The sequence below is a fragment of the Homo sapiens genome, chromosome X, assembly GCF_000001405.40.
Source record: "Homo sapiens chromosome X, GRCh38.p14 Primary Assembly".
Taxonomy (NCBI): domain Eukaryota; kingdom Metazoa; phylum Chordata; class Mammalia; order Primates; family Hominidae; genus Homo; species Homo sapiens.
In genome coordinates this window covers 124,692,319-124,713,997 of record NC_000023.11, presented here as the reverse complement: position 1 = coordinate 124,713,997, position 21,679 = coordinate 124,692,319, and the positions used below count along the sequence as shown (strand labels likewise).

The following is a 21,679-nucleotide window of genomic DNA, read 5'->3' as shown; positions in this document are numbered from 1 at the left end:
TAATTATTAATAGTAATTCTTTCATGACTAAAATATCTCACAAGAAGACATGAAATGTGAATCAACTATTTCTTTGATTTATTTATTTTAGATTATGTGAAAATGAAATGAGCGCATATAGTTGTTTTTACATTCAACAAGCCAAGAAATATTTGCCCGCAAATAGAACACTTACCTTAGACTACCCAACCTTTGTTCCTTCTGCATAGTGATTCAAGACCCATTTAGAAGAAACAAAGGCATCATACAAATCAATATGTATTCATCGAATACCTCTGAAGTAAGAGACAATGTACCTAGAAATTAAGACTGTTTCCTGTCCTCAAGGAATATGCAATCCAGAGATAGTTGACCAGATAGGGCAGATATTGCTTCTGAATAAAAGAGGAGAAGGGATGATAACCACTGAAAGGTTTAAAAAGGATCTCCCGGCTGGGCATGGTGGCTCACGCCTGTAATCCCAGCACTTTGGGAGGCCGAAGCAGGCAGATCACCTGAGGGTGGGAGTTCGAGAACAGCCTGACCAACATGGAGAAACCCCATCTCCACCAAAAATACAAAATTAGCCGGGCATGGTGCCACATGCCTGTAATCCCAGCTACTGGGGAGGCTGAGGCAGGAGAATTGCTTGAACCCAGGAGGCGGAGGTTGCAGTGAGCCGAGATCACGCCATTACACTCCAGCCTGGGCAACAAGAGCAAAACTCCATCTCAAAAAAAAAAAAAATTTTTTTTGCAAATCACGATAGTAACGATCTAGACTACAGAGTATTTCTATTTGAGAATATATTATAGAACTAAGACTTAAGCCTAGGAAAATTAAAGCTTAGATAGGTATCCAGAAATTCATTTAAAAGCTCTTAAAATTATGAACGATGTGGACGGAGCATGGAATTTTTATCAACACTTGGCGTCCGAGGTTTAGAAGCAATATGTGGACAGAGGTGGCTTAGTATTTGGAAGAAAGAATCACAGGGCAAATAAAATGAAATTCTCCTTTATATAGTTGTTAGTAGAGATGTTGAGGTTGATATCTTTGCCAGTAATGACTCTTTTCCACAAAACAACTCTAAGTATTCTTGTTAGAGAAGAAAATGGGGCTGACCCAGCATGGCATTTTCTTGTGTTTTTTGGAGGCATGAGAATAAATACCTATGAATAGCCATTTAAGCAAAAGTGATATACAAATGCCAAAAAGCATATGAAAAGATGTTCAAGGGCGGGTGCGGTGTCTCACGCCTGTCATCCCAACACTTTGGGAGGCCGAGGTGGGCAGATCACTTGAGGTCAGGAGTTCAAGACCACCCTGGCCAACATGGTGAAACCCCGTCTCTACTAAAAATACAAAAATTAGCTGGGCATGGTGGCAAGCGCCTGTAGTCCCAGCTACTCAGGAGTCTGAAGCAGGAGAATCACCTGAACGTGGGAGGCAGAGGTTGCAGTGAACCGAGATTGTGCCACTGCACTCCAGCCTGGGTGACAGAACAAAACTCTGTCTCCAAAAAAACAAAAAAGAAAAAGAAAAGAAAAGAAAAGATGTTCAAAATCCCTATTCATCAGAGACATGCAAATCAAAACCACAATGAGATATCACCTCACACCCATGAGAATCATTACTATTAAAAAAAAAGAAGAAGGAAAATTACAAGTATTGGTGAGGATGTGGAGAAATTGGAACCCTTGTACATGGTTGGTGGTGTTGTAAAGTAGAAACCGCTATGGAAAACGGTATGGAAGTTCCTCCGAAAAGTAAAAATAGAACTACTGTATGATCCAGCAATCCTACTTCTAGGTATTTATCCAAAATAAATGAAAGCAGATCTCAAAGAGATATTTGCACACCTTCTATGTTTACAGAAGCACTATTCACAATAGCCAACAGGTGGAAGCAACCTAAGTGTCCATCAGTGGATGAATAGATAAACAAAATATGGTACATACATACAAAAGAATATTATTTGGCCTAAAAATGAGGGAAATCCTGTCAAATGCTACAACATGGATGAACTTGGAGGACGTTATGTTAAGTGAAATAAATCACAAAAACACAAATACTGTATGATTCCCCTTATATGAAGTATGTAAAGTAGTCAAAATCATAGAAACAAATAGAATGGTGGTTGCTTGGAAGAGGATGGAAAGAACAATTGTTTAATGGGGATATAGTGTTTCAGATTTGCAAGGTGTAAAAGTTCCAGAGATCTGTTCTATAACCATGTCAATAATACTTAACATTACTGAACTATACACTAAAAAAATTTAACATGCGAAATTTTATGCCATATGCTTTTTATCACAATAAAAATTCATTTTATAATTTGTTTTTTTAAAAAAATACCTAAATTCTACTATGCTATCCAAATATGGTTTGGTCCTATTAACTTCTAGTCTTCTTGTTTTTAAAAACCCAACCTCAGCTTCTACTGGAAGCAAGTTGAATTCCTTCTTCTGGGTACAAAAATGAGTCAGATGCTTATAGCTAAGGGAATATAGGTATAGATATGCGTCTCATAAGAATGTTTACAAGATGTAAAAGAAAAAAATCATTGGTTATTTATGCATCTGTTGTTAGAAAGTCATAGATTTCTGTCTGTTTCCTATAGAATTTTAAGTGCCACATTAAATCACATTATTTAGTGCTAGCAGATACCCTCAGAATTATGTAGTATGAGGGGTTTAAAAATAGAGAGCACATTTTCCCCTTTTTTATAGATGATTTTAAAATCCTTACAGGGGCATTTATTATATTCCCATTTACCACCACTGGGTCTCATCATTCTTGAAGATTTTTTTTTTAATTTCTTTATATGCCCATTTCCTTTTGGTAATATCTTGCCTTTCCTTTTTAAATTTGAACTTGAATATTAAAACAGATGCAAAGAAGAGTACTACTTACACATAAACTCTTGAACTGCATTTTTATCATTTGCTCTGTGGAAAAAAACCCAATTGTATGAAATTGATAGCAACATTTTAGTATATCCTCAGGTCCCCAGGGAAAAGCAATGTGCTTAGACAGATGATCTGATTGTATGAGCACATAGCTAACATCTAGCACTGAGCATTTGTCTTTCTGCTCCTGCTTCTTTCAGGGACTATGAAAACACATTTAGGCACTAGTTTGACTTTCCAACAATGGACTGCAAAGCCTATGACAAAACACGTCATTTGCATTGCTCTTTTTCATGGTTCACAACAAAGTACAGATCACTTTCAGCATAGAATCTTAATCTGAGTTTGTTAATAAGAAAACAAGAACCTTAGTACATGAACTCATTTTATTATCTACCCTCATTGAGAACCGTGATTTGGATTCCACTCAAATAAAAATTAGTTTAAATGTTGTTCTGCTGCAACTGTTGAATTTATTCATTATGCTGTAATATTTTACTTATGAAACTGCATTTGGAAATCCTTTGGTGTACATCAGGATGAAATTACAGGGCTCAGGGATATTGATTATTCTTGTAATTGCCGTCATAATAGCCAACAATTCTCTGTCTTTTGTTTTCCTTCCTTCCACCTCTTAATATTATACCAAACCAAATCAATATCCAACATATTGGAACACTTACATTGTCTCAAAAATCCAATTATTCTCCTTCATAAATGTGCAAAAGATTGAAGATTTTATCTCCAAACATTAAGTAAAGGAACCTCATTCTGCTGGGTTTCTCCTTTGTCCCATAGGACCATATCAGAGTGTTGCTGCATCGAATCCATAATATGTGACATTTTGTCACCTCCAAAGTAACCACAGGGCAGGAGTGGGGAGGTAGGGAGGCTACATCCCTACGCTGCCTGTATAGTGCTACACTTCTTGCTCACTAGTAAATGAAATGGTCAAAGGGGAAAAAAACAGTCTGGGAGAGTTAAGCAGACATTAAAAAAGAAATTCATCTTTTTATGGTGCGGAGGAGGTTATTTATTTAAAAGCCTTAAAGTAACAGCACAATCAAATGAAAAGAGGACAACTAAGAGTCACTTATTCATTAAAATATACTTAATCTTATTATTATTTTTATATTGTTTCTTCATTCTGGGGATAAATTAGGTGCCTTTAGAAGCAGTAGTAACTCTTTTAGGTTTTCATCAACTAAAGGGTAGTTTCTTTGTAATGCTTACCCATTCATCCAAAATAGTTAAGACAGTCTTTAAAATTTACTAGAAGAACATTTGACATACAGAAGAATAGATGTGTATTATGTAGTACTGTTTGAACAGATAGTATTTGTTGGGCCCAGGTCAGTTAACCCAGATGATTAGAACCTGATGCTAATCTGGTGAAGACTGTGGTTGTCAAGTAGCATGGGGTAATGTAAATACACTATTTTGGAAGCCCCAGATTTCAGTTTCATCCATGCCTATTAGCTAGCTATGTTATTTTTAAGTAAGAAAGTTTCATTCTCTTGGCCTCAGTTTCCCTAACGTCAAAATGAGAGGGATGGGCTACTAGATGATTTCTGCGGGTCCCTTCCAACTCTGTGATTCTGTAGCCATCATTCTCACATTCTTGTTATTAGTCAGAAAAGGAATGTAATAGTGTGGCTCAGTTAAACATCATCCTCATGCCAAATTCAACACAAAGCATACTTATTCTATGCCTCAACAGGCCTGTATTCCCATCACAAACAATACACTATGTTATAGTATATTGTTTAAGAGCAGTGGCTCTGCAGCCAGACTGCCTGGGTTTGAAACTCAGTTTAATCAATTACTAGCTGTGGGGCCAAGGAAAAGTGACTTAACCTCTCTGTGCTTAGATCGTCTCATCTGTAAAATAGAGATATCGACTGTAATAAAGTTGTTATGAAGATTAAATAATATAATACTTTGTGAAGTATTTAGAGCAATGCCTGTCAAAAATAATCACTCAAATGTTATCTCTTACTAACATTATTATAATAATTACTATTATCACCGCTCTACTCCTACTAAACCTCTTTGGGTCTCAGTTCAGTCATCTAGAAGATTAGGATAATAGTATCAACTTCACAGACATATAAGGATCAAAATTGGAGACAAAGTGCCTAACTTGGAGCCTGGCCCATCTAGGCGCTCAATAAATCACGTTAACTTAAATGGAACCAACTATTCCTGTGGTTGGTGTTATCCTGTAAATGTTTTCCACTCCCTAATACTCATGAATCTTTTTTTTTATCTTAGTTACAAAATCAATACAAGCTCAAGGCAGAAAAGTTCAGAAAATACCCCTACCATACAAAGGTAACATAAATTATTATTTTCCTTGAACATATGTACTTTTTTTCCTTTAAAAATTGAATAACGTTGCCCATACTCTTTTGAAGCCTGCCTTTTTTTGCTTGGTAATATCTGTAAACACTTTTCCCAGTGAATAGACAGTCATTTGCCACGCAATTTGTAATGATTGTGTAGTACTACATTATGTGTTTATAAAATAATTTACTTAATGAAATAGCAATTACTGGGCATTTAGATGTTTATTTTTTGCTATTATAAATAACATTGCAATGAATGGCTTCTTATATGGATTGTCATACACATCATTTCCTGAGGAAAAATTCCTATAGCCATAATTATTGCATCAAAGAATAGGCATTTTTAAAGTCATTTGATACATAATGCCAAATTGCCCTCCAGAAAGACCTGTGAATCTGTACTCCCCTCAGCAACCCAGTCCTTTAAAAAATTTTTAACCTCATGATACTGAAGCAAAATTCTCTGTTGTGGGTATTTTCCATTAACATTCATATAGGGTTTTTTTAATCCCTTTAAATACATATGCTTTTGTTCTTTAAATATGGAAGCTAGAAGTCAGTCTTAAAATAATGTTAGTAATTTATGCATTTGTGCACACATTACATGTACAAGGTGATGTTGGCTTTATGCTTAGTGAAATTTTTTGTTGTACATTAAAATGTAGCACTCGAATGTGTTTTGTTATTTTACTGCCCCAGGTAATACGGTAGACTGCTTAAGATTAAAGACTTTGGTCAAGGTGATGAATATGCTAATTATCCTGATCTGCTCATTCTACATGTATATGTATTGAAACAACACTATGTGATGCTGGTAGGCTGGGGGAAGTCCCCAAATGCTGGCGGGATCTTGGCCACAGCTGGTGTCCAGGCTCTTGACACTGTTGCAAGAATGAACTCAAAGACAAGTTGGAAAATAGTGGAAGTATGGACATTTATTGCAAAGGGAAATGTACACACTCAAGAAAAGGGAGTATAAGTGTACTCAAGAGAGAATCACCCACAAGGGGGTTTGGAGCTGCTACCTTTTGGGGTTTGTTTATTCAAGGGGTAGAATATTCATGAAAATTCCTGTAAAAAGGTGGAGATTTATCGGAACTGTGGTGCCACCCATTTTTACACCAAACATGGGTATTTCTGGAACTGTCATGGTGCTGGTGGGTTGCGTGATTTAGTATGTTAATGAGGATATAATGAAGTCCGAGGTGAAACCTAGGTCAAATCCCGCACCACGTTGGGTCCAGTCAGTCTTAGCCAGCTTGGTTCAAATCCTATTATTCAGGGTCTTAATAGCCCATAGCCTCTAATCATGTGAAACTGCTGCCTGGAATTTTTTTATTCTCCTGCAACCACACTATATTATTCCTGTCTCATATGTACCCCATAAATATGCACAATTGTTATATATGTCAATTAAAGATAAAAAAGAAAAGAAAAAAGTTTATAAAAAATGATTGGCCAGGCACAGTGGCTCATGCCTGTAATCCTAGCACTTTAGGAGGCTGAGGTAGGCGGATTGCCTGAGCTCAGGAGTTCAAGACCAGCCTGGGCAACATGGTGAAACCCCGTCTCTACTAAAATACAAAAAATTAGCCAGGCAGGGCGGCAGCCTGTGGTCTCAGCTACTTGCGAGGCTGAGGCAGGAGAATTGCTTGAACCCAGGAGGTGGAAGTTACAGTGAGCTGGAGTTACAGGCTGGAGTGCAGTGAGATCTGGAAGTTACAGGCTGGAGTGCAGTGAATGAGATCGTGCCACTGTACTACAGCCTGGGTGACAGCGAGACTCCGTCTCAAAAAAAAAAAAAAAAAAAAAGATTAAGGACTTTGGAACCCCAAATGACCTAGATTCTGATTCTGGCTCTGTCCTTCACTTGCTAGGTGAGTTTGGGCAAGTTGTTTAACCTCTTTTGGTCTCCATTTCTATAAATACACAATGAGAATAATATAGACTATTTCATAAGAGTAAAGAGCAAAAGAGATACTAATGAGTGTTCAGCACAACACTTGGCACTTAGCAAGTATAAAAGTACTTTTATTTATTTGTTGTATAAAAGAAGTATATGCAATTTTATTTATTTATTTATTTGTTTTTGGCAACTCCTTCCATGTGAATACATTACTACTGTTTACAAAATGCCCATATTACAATAGTCATGAACACTCAACAATCATTCTTTAGTAATTCAAACATGACAGTAGCATGACTCCATTTGCATGAAGTTCTACAAGAGGCAAAACAAATGTATGGTGGCAAAAACATGCAGAATAGTGGTTTTCTCTGGGAATAGAAATAGGGATTTACCTAGAAAAGACAGAAGAGAACTTCTTGTCTTGATGGGAATGTTATACATCTTGATAGGGGTTTGGGTTGCATAGGTGACAGCATTTGTCAAATCTACAGCAAATGTGCACATAAAACTGCACATTTTATTATGCATAAATTTTACATTAAAATTTGTAAAACTATCAAACTAGCTAATAATATGTGAGTTAAAATATATGAAGGGAAGTGTACTGATGTATGCAACATACTTCAAAATGCTTAAAAACTAAAAACTGGCCGGGCACAGCGGCTCACGCCTGTAATCCCAGCACTTTGGGAGGCTAGGCGGGCGGACCACTAGGTCAAGAGATGGATACCATCCTGGCCGACATGGTGAAACCCCATCTCTACTAAAAATACAAAAAGTAGCTGGGCGTGGTGGTGCGAACTGTAGTCCCAGCTACTCAGGAGGCTGAGGTAGAAGAATTGCTTGAACCCGGGAGATGGAGGTTGCAGTGAGCCGAGATCATGCCATTGCACTCCATCCTGGTGACAGAGCGAGATTCCATCTCAGAACAAAACCAAACAAACAAACAAACAAACAGAAACAGAAACAAAACAAAACAAAAAACTAAAAACTGACAGATGGAGAGAAGAATGGAGAAATGAATAAGTATGTGACAAAGTGAGTTCAGTCAAATGCTAACTGTGGAATCTAGTTAGTGAGTATGTGATTGTTTATTATAAAATTCTTTCAACTTGGCTGTATATTTGATAATTTTTATAATAAAATGTTGAATGAAAATATGGCTGTGAAGCTAGTCTCTAAAGTTTGGTAGTGAGGATAATCTCAAACACTGGTGTCTAGGCCATTCTAATGATCAAAATGCCTAATGATGCATCTCTGTTTTTGAATCAACTCTTGATGATCATATTTAATGAAAGGGAAGGGTGTAGTGTGTAACACCAAATGTGGAATGTTAGCACTCACTAGCCAGCAAATCGGGGAACACAAGGCCTGTTTCTTAAAGGTCTAGATGAAAAAAGAAAAAAAAAGACAAAGAAAAGAGAGAGAACAACAAGGGCAATTTAGAATTATCTCTTAGGTATATGAAAATGTTGCTGAGCTCCATCCAGTTCTCTTGAGCTTGGCTATAGCATGATTGTTTGAAATTAATGGAGTTTGTGTTTTTGTAGCAACTGGCTTTGCTTTTTATAGCCCAAACTTGTGTTTCCTTTTCACAGGCATTTCCTGTTCAAACATGGATCTGGTTCCTCTGCGATCTTCAGTGCAGCCAGTCAGAACTACCCTCTGACATCCAATACCGTGTACTCGCCCCCTCCCAGGCCTCTTCCTCGAAGCACCTTTTCCCGACCTGCCTTTACCTTTAACAAACCTTACAGGTGCTGCAACTGGAAGTGCACAGCATTGAGCGCCACTGCAATCACAGTGACTTTGGCCTTGTTACTAGCCTATGTGATTGGTAAGTCCTTTTTGTCATGCCTCAGTTTTGTTCTTAATCAAAGTCTTGTTTTGCTTGTGGTGGGAATGGGGGGTTTTTCTCTCGATTCTGGCATGTACACATTTGGACCTAGGCTTAGTATGATAACAAATTGATTTTCTTCTTTTTTTTTTTTCTTCCTAACCTTAAATACTGCTGAGGAGAGTAAGGAATGCTCTTTGAGAAGAAATATTTATACTACTAACACAGTCTTATTGATCGCAATTACTGTAGTTAACCATTTTCCCTTCAATTAAAAGGTTGTTATGGTTTTCCCATTAGAAGTCATAAGTACCAATCTACAATAGCTTCTTAAATTACAGTTAAACAATAATACTGCTACGGAATTTTCAGGTAGCAATTTCATTAAAGCCCCAGTTATTTGGAAGCTATCAGAAAATTCAGTACATAATTTCTTCCCAAGAATTCAGATTTTTACACTGTGACCAAAAAATGTATTCTTATTTCACTAGGTAAATGACTGCAAAATTGTTTAGTTACTATGTCTTGAAAAGTAAAGCAGAGAGCAGTTATAAGGTGCTCTTTCCACTTTTAGGAAAAATGTTGTTGTTCTTGAGTCACCCTGATTAAAGTCACCCTCATTTGGTAGCAAATTGTATTGATTTTTCTGGATGTCATTTTATTGTGACTGAATATTAATTTACTTTCTTGAGTGGTTCTGCAGTCTAAAATGTAAACTGACTTAAGAAATGTGTGTATTTTGTGGCAGCACTATTCCTAGAAGGAATAGAATGTCATTGTAGAAAACAAAGTCTATCCAAGTATATCCCTAATAAATTATTTTCAGGTTTACCCCAGTTACCTATTTGAAGCAGATTTACCCACTAAGAGACAATGAATATGATTTTGAGTGGCAGATAAAAAGAGACTTAGACTTTCTTTAAGTAATAAAGTACATTTGGTTGATTCCCATTTATCTAAAATGAGAATAATCTAAAAGTTCACATAATGAGTTTGTGTGGGCATCATAGACCAGTGGATGGTAAGTAAATAAACGGCTATATTTTGTAGGGAGGTCACTGATGATGTAAACAGTATAGGATCATAGCCTGCGCTGATGTTCATGATTCTCTCTTTTATATTTTCATCACACAAGCTGAATATATTTGAACAATGCTTCTATTTAACATGGATTATATTACCCTATAATATCAAAACTGTGTCTTTTATCTCAGACATTTCAGGATAACCCAACATGTGTGTTTATTTGGTTTGTGGTGACCTGTAATGAGAAATACTGCTGAAGGAATGGAGGCGAAGGATGAGAAAGTTCTACAACTCAAACATGATTTTCATATATCATTGAGAACAAGGAATAATATAAAAAGTTTAAATACATTAGAGTCCCTTTAAAATGGTCTTGCTCAATTGAGATAAACTTTTATATGGGTTATTTTCTATTAACTTTTACTATATAGAGAGATAATGTTTTAGATACAAGGCCTAACCCTTGGTGTAAACAAGCTCAAGTAATAGCAAGCTCTTTATTTAGGTTTATACCATGTTTAATACTAATTTTCTATTTAAATTTATTATTATGGCCACTCCCATATCAAAATTTTATTACATATTCTGAAACTTGTTTAATTCAGTTGTATGTTTATTCATTTCATCAGCAAAAGTGGAACATTTCAGTTATTTCAAGGACTGTCTTTTTTAATAGAATAAACAATGGCATATCAATTTGGCATGGAAGTAAGACAGTATAGTTCAATAGTTATTAACATAGATTTTTCAGACCTCTGCCACTTATTAGGTGTGTTTCCTTGGGTGAGTTACTTAACCTTTTCAGGTCTCCATTTCCTCATCTGTAAAACAGGCTTAAAATCGTACCTATAGCATAGGATTGTTAGAAGAATTAAATGAGTTAATATAAGTAAAGCACATGGAGTAGTGCCTGAAATATAGTAAGTAGCCTATAAATGTTAAATATTATCATTAATATTACCATTGTTACCATCATAATTATTATTCACGATTAAAATTCACTAGTTCCCAGAATTAACAATTTTGTTCATGGCTGTATCTCAGCACCAAGAACAGTGCCTGGCACGTGTAAGCCCTTTCAGTAAAAGTTTGTTGGAAAAAAATGAATTATGCTAAGCTCTTTCCTTGTATGAGCACATTTAATTCTCACAACAATCCTTAAGGATAGGTATCAATACATATGTATTTTATAAATGGGGAAACTGAGGCTCAACAAAGTTAAGAGGTCACATAGAGGCCACTTTTGAGATTAAGAGGGTGCCTTGCTAAGAAATAAGGATGCTGAGCTTCAAGCCAGAGCAGACTGACTCTTGAGTGCTAGGCCTTGCTGCTCTTCTAGCACTGAAGTAAACTTTATAACTTGTTTACTTCTCAGTCTACTGAATAAATCCACCAGATATTTTTTCTTATTAAATTACAAATTCAATTAGATATACCAAGTCATCTATTCCCATGGTGAGTGCCACTAAGATTGGTTGATTGGTAAGCAATATTTGTTGAAATCATTTACTGGGAGATTTTTTAGATGCAGAAATATCAGGCTAAATGCTGGCACAGTAACTTGAGTGGGTTCAATATGAGAAGATGTTTATGGCAAACACTGGAACTTTGTTCCTGGTTCTGTCATGAACTGGACATTATGTGACTGGATAAGTCAGTAAAAATCTCTCTTGATTTATCCCATCTGTGCCATATTGGTGACCACCTCAGAAGGATAGAGTAAAAATTCATAAATAGGCATTCAGGTGAAAGATAGCACATAAGAGCTGTAATATACAAGATGATTTTTAAATGGCTTTCTGTGGTTGAAATAAAAAAGTATTATATTTCAAAATATGAAACCATTTCATTCTCGACTATTGCTGAGTCTGTAAGTCATCATTTTTTTCAATCCCCATTTGCAGTTGCTGTATAACCCAAGTAAAATCTTTCACTGAAACTACTTGCTGCTTCTGTTTCCCATGCAAATTCCTTTCTGCTATTTCATTTTCCTCTATTATCCATTATACATAACCTTTAGATACTAATGGCTGTATGCTGTGCTGCCCTCAATCCACTAGGGGAAATCGCATCGATATCAATGGGACATCAATAGTCATTCTGTGCATTATAGCTCTGTAAGTGGTCATTGGAAAGCAGTGGAAATCCAGCACGTGAAAAGCCAGAGCTGGGTTGTTCAGCCAACCAGTCCTATCTCCACACCTACCCACTATACCTTTTGGATCAGGGAAAAAAATCATTCCTTTGAATAAGTTTTGAGTTCAAAAAAGTTGGTGAAGAGAGGCATGGAAAAATACTGATTATATGAAGATAGCATGGAATGGCTATTGTCATCACTTCCTCGTAAATCTGTAATATTTTCCATCTGAATCAAAAAGTATGTCCTTATGCTTCATCTTTTCTGATATTTTGGCATCAGTGATGTATCAGTGCCAGTCAGAAGCACATTTGCTTGAATTTACAAATAAGCCATATGAAGTAGTAGTCAGGAAGACAGATGACCATATGCAAGGTGTCAAGAGAAGGCGAGGTTAAGGTACTTCATCAGTGGTTGTGAAGGGCACAAACACAGCTTCTCTGGCAATCTTTGATGTTTTGATCAAGTTTCTTCACAGTCAGCAGATTGTATAAGAGGCTACAGAATCTCACATACATGGAAACTCACATGAATACATTGTGCCTGGGGTCAAGTGCGCTGTTACATTGAATGAGCTGAAGAGTAGGGGTTTCTGGCTCTCGTACCCATTATCATTAGTTAATGACATGGATGATCCTTTTCCTTTGCCATGAGATTAGTAGCAATCCATACCACCTTCAGGGGATACAGGTAGTATTCCAACTGTGCAGATGAAATAATTTCAGTCCATAAATCTTGTCATGACATACTATATAGCCTACATGTAGAAAGCTGACCACAATGGATATTAACAATATAGAACTAGAAGAGATAGAGTTTTGTACCCAGTTCTCTGATCCAAAGGTTAGAGATGAAACTATTCAAGAGGGCAAAGGGCCTTCTTCATGTTGCTCTCTGCAGCAAAATTCAATAACATAGATTCAAGTGCTTTTTTTGCCTCTTTGCACTGGCCCAAATTGCCCTATTTTGGGGGTTTACTACAGTGGAGTAAAAGAGTGCTGAAAATAATAGAATGAAAGGAGTGGTGTGTGTTCATTTTGTCCGCCTCAAAAAGAAAGTGCAAATACCTCACTATACAGGGAAGACATAAAGTGGACTGTGGCATGTGCTGACTTTGGAAAATTCAAGAATTTAGATTTTTTTTAACAGAGAGGATAGAAATGGAGTTTTTTCCCCATTAAATCTAAATATAAAAATGCTCCCTCACACAGTATTTGCTAAATGTAGATAAATATGCTTACCAAAGCCCAACTCTTTCACTTATAGTGCTAGCAACTTCATTAATCTTTCTGTGCCTACGTTTCCTCATCTATAAAATGGGAATGTTGATAATACTTTCTTCAAGGATTGTCTTTATAATTAAATGAGTTGAAGCTTGTAAAACACTCAGGACATTGCTTAGCACAGCTGAATAAAGATTAATGATAATTATTAGTGAAATAGAATTATTATGAAGATTATTTAGTTTGAGCTGGGGTAAGGGTAATGAGGATATAATTCATCCTAACATGAACTGCTTTTGTTTCCCTTCTTTCCAAAGTCATCTAAAACAATTTTTCAGAGCATGAATGTCTGTCTCACAAGAATCCTCTAATGAGTTTGTTGTTTCCTTCTGCCTGGTCTGAAATAGCTGTCACTTTGCCTTTATTTTACTAATATCCCTCTTCTATGATGTTTTGACCCTTCAAATGGTTTTGTATTTTTATCTGAAGGCCATATCTAGGTTGAAACACGTTTTCATTAAAATGCATTACAGCTTATAACATTCAAGAAATGACTCAGCATAAAATGCTAAAAAGCATTTCACATTATCCTATAGACCGTTATCAATCCTTTTGCTGTCATGCTTAATACTTATTACTTCTTCCAATTCACTCTTATAGACCCAATCATGATAATACTGACAGTTTTTATATTAGCATTGACTTTTCCTCCTATTCATGAATCTACCAACCTTCTAGCAATGTCTCTAAGCAGGGATCTGGAAAATGGTGGTATGACTTCAGTCTAATTACAAATCTGCTATCCATGCATTTACCAGAACCTTTCTTTAAAAAAGATTTATAGACTCTTCTTACATCACCTTTTGGTATAATATATTCCATAAGTTTTATCCCCACCATGTTAAGTGGCACTCTTGCCTGTCATAAATAAAAGTATAAATCCAATCCAAATTAAACATACTAAAATGACATGATGAATCCATGTCAAATAAAACTAATTTCTAGAATCAGAGTTAGGTCCTGTTGTTCAGACTAAGGGCATCTTGGTGAAAGGCAAATACTGCACTTATTTTTTTTTCTTAGAACTCCAGAATGTATTTAAGACACAGAGTAAGAGAAATAATTTATTGGGTGAACAAGTAGTAGATACTAAATATATGTCTTGCATCAAGAGATTATTGTCTCAAGGAGAGGCAATCACTCTACTAAGTACTTCTCATACAGTACTTTCTTAGCCCGGCTAGGAAAATTAAAATGAGACTCTGTGAAATAGATAAAGATCTACTGGTAGGCATAATAAAGGGGGACTGGACAGGAGGTTAGTCATTTTGGAGTTTTGCATGCTTAAGACATTTTAGAACAGTAAGAATCAATCATGCAAACTCAGACCAAAAAAAAAATCTCTCAAGAAATCTATGACTTCACAGTAAATAACTTGAATTCTATTTCATAAAGAAGAAATTTAGCTCCTGTTTAACTCAGTTTCTCTCCACCCAAATTGTATATATAGTGCATACATAGATATGTGAATATTTTAGAGCCACATTGCATAAGTCGTTAAGCTATACTTACTCTGAAGTGAATAAGAATAAACTAAATTAGAGCAATGGCTTTTAAACAGATGGCAGGTTAACCCATTTTAAACTTCAGAAATATGACTAAATTTTTATCTAGAACAGCCAGAGTGGGGAGGGCCAGTATCACCAACAAAATATCTGATTTATCATAGTCAACACTAACAGGTGGCATCTTACAGGGTGGAGGCTTATCCATTTAGGGTTCAGCAATATTTGCTTCACAGAAAGGTTGAAAAGCATAGTATGTTTTAATAAATACAAATATATTGCAATACCTGGGGAAGCAAAAAAGGAAAGATACAGAAAGGTGGCAGGAAATGAAGACGGTAAGCAGGAGCTGATTATGGAAGGCATTTTAAGCCATGGTAAGGACCTTGAAATTTATTCCCAGAACAAATGGAGAGTTGTTGTGGTTTTTCATTAGGGCAAGACAATTATTTGCTCAGACTTACATTTAGAAAAATCACCCTAATGGCAGTATTGAAGTTGGGTTTGGCAGGCAGGACGATGGGTTTGTAAAATTGAAAACATGGAGATAAATTAGAAGACTATATTAGTAATACAGATTAGTGATAGTGAGAGCATAAACTTCTGGTAATGGAGAAGGAGGAGATGGAATGGAGAAATATTTAAATGATAAAACTCACTTGACTTAGTGACTAATAAGATGTATCAGGAGAGAATGTTGTTATCTGGCTTAGGGACTGGGTAGATGGTGATGCTATTAGTCAAGATAGATAGCAAATGGAAGGAAGAGGCTTAAGGGTGAAAATGGACCTACAGGTAGAGATACCTAGAACATTATTAAATATTTGGTGCTGAAACTTTGGAGGTAACTACCGTTGAGGACACCAAAATCGTAGGAGTAGGAAGGAAAAAGGAGTATGAAGACTTGAACTCTGGGAAATACTGGTGTTCAAGAAGCCCAGGGAAAAGGAATCTGCTAAGCAGACTATGAAGAAACAACTAGAAAGATTGGAAGAAAACATTCTATGGTGAAGATAAAATAGTGGTTCTCAATGTGAGGTCTAGCAACCACTAGGAATTCCAAGACCTGTCAAAGCATCTATAAAGTAAAACTATTTTCATAATACCATAAAAGTGTTATTTATCTCTTTTACTGTAATTCTCTCAGGAGTGTACAGTGTAGTTTTTCAGAGACCACATGACATGTGAAATCACAAGAATTTACATGCAAAAGTAGCTATGAGAGTCCGCCTGTTTTTCGTTAAGCCAAACATGAAAGAGAACTTCAAAAATGTAAAACAATGCCACTATTCTCACTAATTTTTTGGGTTTTGCAAAATACTATATAATTATTTATTACAAAATGTGTCATTTATGTTAAAATGTAATGGTATCTATATATTATTCAATAAATTAATAAATACTTAAAAATTATCCATTTTAATTTCTAATGTAGATATAACTCATGTCACCAAAAGCTCTTTGGCATCTTCAGTAATTTTTAAGGGCAATAAAGAAGTACTAAGACTAAGTCATTTGTTCATGGAAGGCTAGATTCTTGTCTAGGTATGATCCCACAAAGTAGTCTTTCCTGGGTAGACTTACAAGCCCATTAACAAATTACACCAAAGTACAGATAGCATTTAAATAATAGCACTAGTTTGTATTGCATCCTCCATACAGGCAAGACCCACGTGGAATTTCAGATTACAGTGTAACTTCTCAGGAACACCTTCCTTGGGGCTCCTACTCCTCTCTATGGGACAGTAATGAACAAATTAAGAGGATCCAAGATGGCTCACTGTAATTTTCTACTCGTCAAAGCCTCATCAAAGCGTTGCCAGTCTAATTAACATAGACCTTGTGTACTGTGTTATAGTTAACTTCCAGGGTAATTGCTTAGTCAAGAGTTTCTAAGGAAGGGCCTCACAAATGTTTGATTATTGGGTTGGATGTGACAATGGGAAATTCTTAACAGGAAGAAAAGATATATGATCTGGCACTTTGAAAAGCACTCTTGCTTCTATTTCATTTAGCTCATATTAAAGGAGCTTTCCTGATCAAATGATCAGGGAACTGTAGGCTAGCATATATACATAGAATACCAGAGGAGGTGGTTGAGCTCTCAGATAAACTAGCTGCAGCTCTGGTCAAAAATGAATGGAAATGTGATTTTTGACTGCAACCATTCTGTGCTACACAGACAAAGACTTTGCTCTTTGGTAGTCATAGGTTTCATTAAATCAAATAGCCCATTATTCAACGTTCTTAATTCAGTTTTACCCTTTGTTCACTTATGAATCTACATTTCCTTTGGTTTTGAACTTTAATTTTAATTAAGCGTAGATATTAAATATGGCAAATAACAATAATGCAGTCTTTTATATATATCATATCCACAAATACTTTGCAGAATTAACTAATAAAATTATGGAGTTAAATGAAAATAATATTAAATAAAGAGAGCAGATAAAAGATTTTGGATTTTACTCATAACAAGCAGCTAAGCCAATACTAGTTGTACAATGCTTAAGAGAGAGAGGAGAGAGAGAGAGAGATACCAGCTGTCAAGAAACTAGGAACAAGTATATTGCACTATGAAAGAAAGTGGAAATTTTTGAAATGGAGTGGTTTTGTTAAAGATCATGTGCTACCTCCAGACATAGAAACCTATTGAACCCTAATCCTCTGAAGCTAACAAATAGTTCACTGGTTTTTGTACCACCTAGCAGAGAGTCAAGAAGTTTTTCTTTTTAAATGTCTGATTGTAGTGGTAAATCTAGCCTCAATCAGTCGATAAGTAGTTGAAGAATCAGATGACTTTTGAACCTACTTGAACTATTTGGCTCTTTAGAGGTGAAAGTTCTTATACCAGTGGGAAAATGTAAAGGACTGGAAATATTCAATGCTACTCCAGGCTATAATAGCACATGCTCCAATATTATCTCATAGAATGTTGTAGAGATAGCACTACTTAAGATTTACCAACATAGGAGACTGTGGGAGTATTGAAAGCCAGATGGTACAAATAGATCCTTTCTTTGTCATGCCTAAAACACAGCCTGTTCTAAGATTGTACAAAACCCAAACAAACCATTAGTATCTTTGGTTTCTTTTCCTGCCTCTGTATGTTTTTAGTTTGGTTTCTCTGAACAAATTCTGCCATTATATAACTTGGGTTAGCCATCATATAAATCTTTTTGCTGATAGGCAACAATCTAGTCTTTTGAATCAATGAACTATTAAATGTATAACCCATTAACTGGAAGGAAAAAAAAAATCCCTCAATTTTAAAAATAAGAGGTTCAATGGGCAATCACAGTTAAATAGACTTTCAAAAAATGAAGACTGTGGAGTCCAGTGGTAGGGACATATTTTGGCCTAAAAGAAGCATAATTCATTGTTAGCATGCATAGCAAATTAAAGAATATAGTTCTTTTTTATAGGCAATTACAGTGCATATGTCTTTTGTGATTTGAGTAGGTAGGAAAGAAATAAAAATATTTGGATTACTCACTGACTGCCTCAGTAGCATTCTCGCTAATGAGGCTGAGGTCATGGGCTCAGTTACTATTTCAATCTGTCAGTTCAGTTCTGTTCTGTTTCATTACCAAAGCCCATAGTCTCAATCTCCCTTTGCGTTTCCCTCCCCAAATCAGGAACTTAGTCCTGTCTTCTACTTCCTAACAAAACCTGAATTCAGAATTGAATCTTAGGTCAAGAGGTTTTACATAAAATGTCTTGTTTCTCTTTAAAAATAGATCTGTCATCCCTGGCCCGGCATTCTCCCATTTCCCCATGCATTTATTGAGTACCTACTATGTGTCAAGTATTATTTCAGTCTTTGTTGTGGCAAAAATAGTATGAGAACCATCAACTGGGGCTAAATAGGACCATGAACGCTCCAGTCCATCGAATACCCATCCTACCCTCTTCACTCTTTTATATTATCTGCCTTCCTTCTATGTAGATATCTAAGCCTGAAGCCACATAATAAAATAACTCACACTGAGGTATAAATGGCTATAACAAAGATAAGTGTATTATATCTCCGTTACGTAATTTGCACTTTATCAGGAGACAAAGTGTTAATTCTAAAAAAGTCTAGGTTCTGCAATTAGAGTCAACTCAGAAGTTGAAATATATTTGCCATCACTACTTTAAGCCAAAGAAGTGAGATACTCACTATGAATTTCCAAGCCTTAAAAATCCAGGTGGAGAAATTATGTGAAGGGCAGGAAAACATGCCTAAGAATACAACACAGTCACCCTGTTAGTACACCTGGATTTATCCACAGTTACAAATCATGGCCCTAACCATGGATGACTCTCTCATAGATGCATGGAACTGAACGTAAAGAACAGCATGCAGTAAAATTATATTTCATACCCATTATTAGAGACTTGTTTCAAATGAATGTGTTATAGATACTGGGTACACAATGTTCAGGTATGTGTGTCTGCATATGTATTATATAAACGTAAAAATAAATATTAACAGTGAGTTCTGGGTTCCCATAGGGTAACATTGGCCTTTTAAATCCAAATCTCTCCATTCCCTTATTCAAAAAGAAATTCAAATGCAGAAGGGAAGCAAGTAAAACCACCTGTAACCCACTCAATAACATAAATAGGAGATAGATAATTCTACAAACTTCAGATTACACATAGGTAGAGAAATAAGCACCCAAATTACTCAGAGTTGTCTCTGTAGCCCATGCCAGGACTGAGAGTCAGATAGAGGCTAAATGGAAAAGAAGACATGAGAGCTAGGGCCCAGCTATGGCAGACTTGATCAAATTACTCCCATTAAAAAGAAGAATTACTCCCATTAAAAAACTGTTTGAACAATCTCAGACCTGGCATATGAGAGCAATGGCTACTGAAAATGGAAAGGAATGTACTTTAAAGTTCACAGAAGTAAAGTTGGTAGCCTTGGGAAGGCACAACCTCTGAGGGCATGGGGGCATTAACTTGGAAGAGATGTCCTTTGGAGGCTTGGTGGTGAAGAGAAAGAAGAAAGCAAGAGGTATAATTTCAGGATACAGCAAAAATAAAAGTGAATCACAAAATTAAGCGACCTACCAAACCCCCTATCCAAAAGCCATTATTGATTTTAAAAGCTACACTTTAATAAGAACTAATAATTCTAGTAATCTAACAAGTCACCAAACTCCTGATTCCTATTTACATACAACTCCTATTACTGGTCCAGGAAACTAAAATATTTCAGAATGAACATAAAAGGGAGACAACACCTACACAAAGCTCTATAAGAAGGAACTAGAAAATAAGAATTAATCATTTCATTTGATTAAAAAAAAAACTTCTAATAGCCAACCCCAAAGCAGAAAAAAACAGCAATAAAACATCTCAGTCCTAATAAGCCTTAAACAAACATTTGAAGATATGAAAAAGGCTCAAATGATAAAGTTTAAAACTCAGAACAGAAATGTACAAAATGAGAGTTGACTAAACTCAGGGAATAAATTGAAGAAAAAGATAAACCCATCGTGAAAATGAATACTATACTGACTGATGACGAAGGGAGAAAAGATATTAAAATGAAAAAGATGCAATGATGAAAGGCACTTGAATAGCAAAGGGAACGAAATTGAAATAAAGAAAGAAGTTTAAGAAAAGATCAGAGAAAATAATTGCTGTAGAAGATAGTCAAATAAATACAAACTACATATAATTATATTAATGGTTCCCAAAGAAGAAAAACAAAACAATGAAATAAAACTAATATTTAAAACTATAATCAAAGAAAATTTTCCAGAAATAATAGGCCTGACTGTAAGTATTGAAGGGCACAACCTTTAATACCTTGGAATTACCTCCAAGTACCTTCAAAAACTGACTCAAAACTATCAACTCCTAGTCATGTGCTACTAAAAATATTAAACTTCAATTATTATTTATAATCATCTCTGGGCCTTTTAGTGGGAGGAGTCATTTGTAAAAGAAAGAAAATCAGATTGAAATTAGACATCTTGACAACAGACAAAGCAAGGTAAGAGTAGAGCAGCATTTTCTTTCTTTCTTTTTTTTTTTCTTTTTTTTTTTTTTTTGAGATGGAGTTTCACTCTTGTCGCCCAGGCTGGAGTGCAATGGCATGATCTTGGCTCACTGCAACCTCCACCTCCCAAGTTCAAGTGATTCTCCTGCCTCAGCCTCCCGAGTAACTGGAATTACAGGCATGCATCACCACGCCCAGCTAATTTTTTGTATTTTTAGTGGAGACGGGGCTTCTCCATGTTGGTAAGGCTGGTCTCGAACTCCCGACCTCAGGTGATCCGTCCACCTCAGACTCCCAAAGTGCTGGGATTACAAGCATGAGCCACCGTGCCCGGCCAGAATTTTCAAATAACTCAAGAAAGAGTATGAGCCAAGGATTTTATTCAAACCAGTTATTCTTTAATTATTAAGGATCTAGAAAAATACTTTAAACATGCAAGAACTCAGAGAATACTGTACTCATAAGCCCTACTAGATTAGGAAATTTTGACCCACCACTTTCAGTTCAAGACATGTCAGGTGGACAAAAACATAGTAAATATATAGAAGAAGACCTAAGAAAGCAAAATCAGTAAGATAGATCCTTTTTAATGTATTATAATAGTAATTATTAATAATATTTTAACTTTTAGTTTCAGGGGTACATGTGCAGGTTTGTTCTATAAGTAAATTTTGTGTCAAGGGAGTTTGATATACAGATTATTTTGTCACCCAGGTAATAAGCATAGTACCTGATAGGTAGT

At 35.8% G+C, this 21,679-nt stretch overlaps 1 protein-coding gene across 13 annotated transcripts in view; it reads left to right on the top strand.

Moving 5' to 3' along the window:
* TENM1 (teneurin transmembrane protein 1) overlaps positions 1-21,679 on the top strand; it is an 828,410-nt gene that overhangs the window by 490,315 nt on the left and 316,416 nt on the right. For all 13 annotated transcript variants that reach the window (XM_017029210.3, XM_017029211.3, XM_047441760.1 and 10 more), the window contains one exon: positions 8,747-8,985. In XM_017029210.3, coding sequence (XP_016884699.1) covers positions 8,747-8,985 — 239 coding nt within the window. The remainder of the gene's footprint in view (positions 1-8,746; positions 8,986-21,679) is intronic.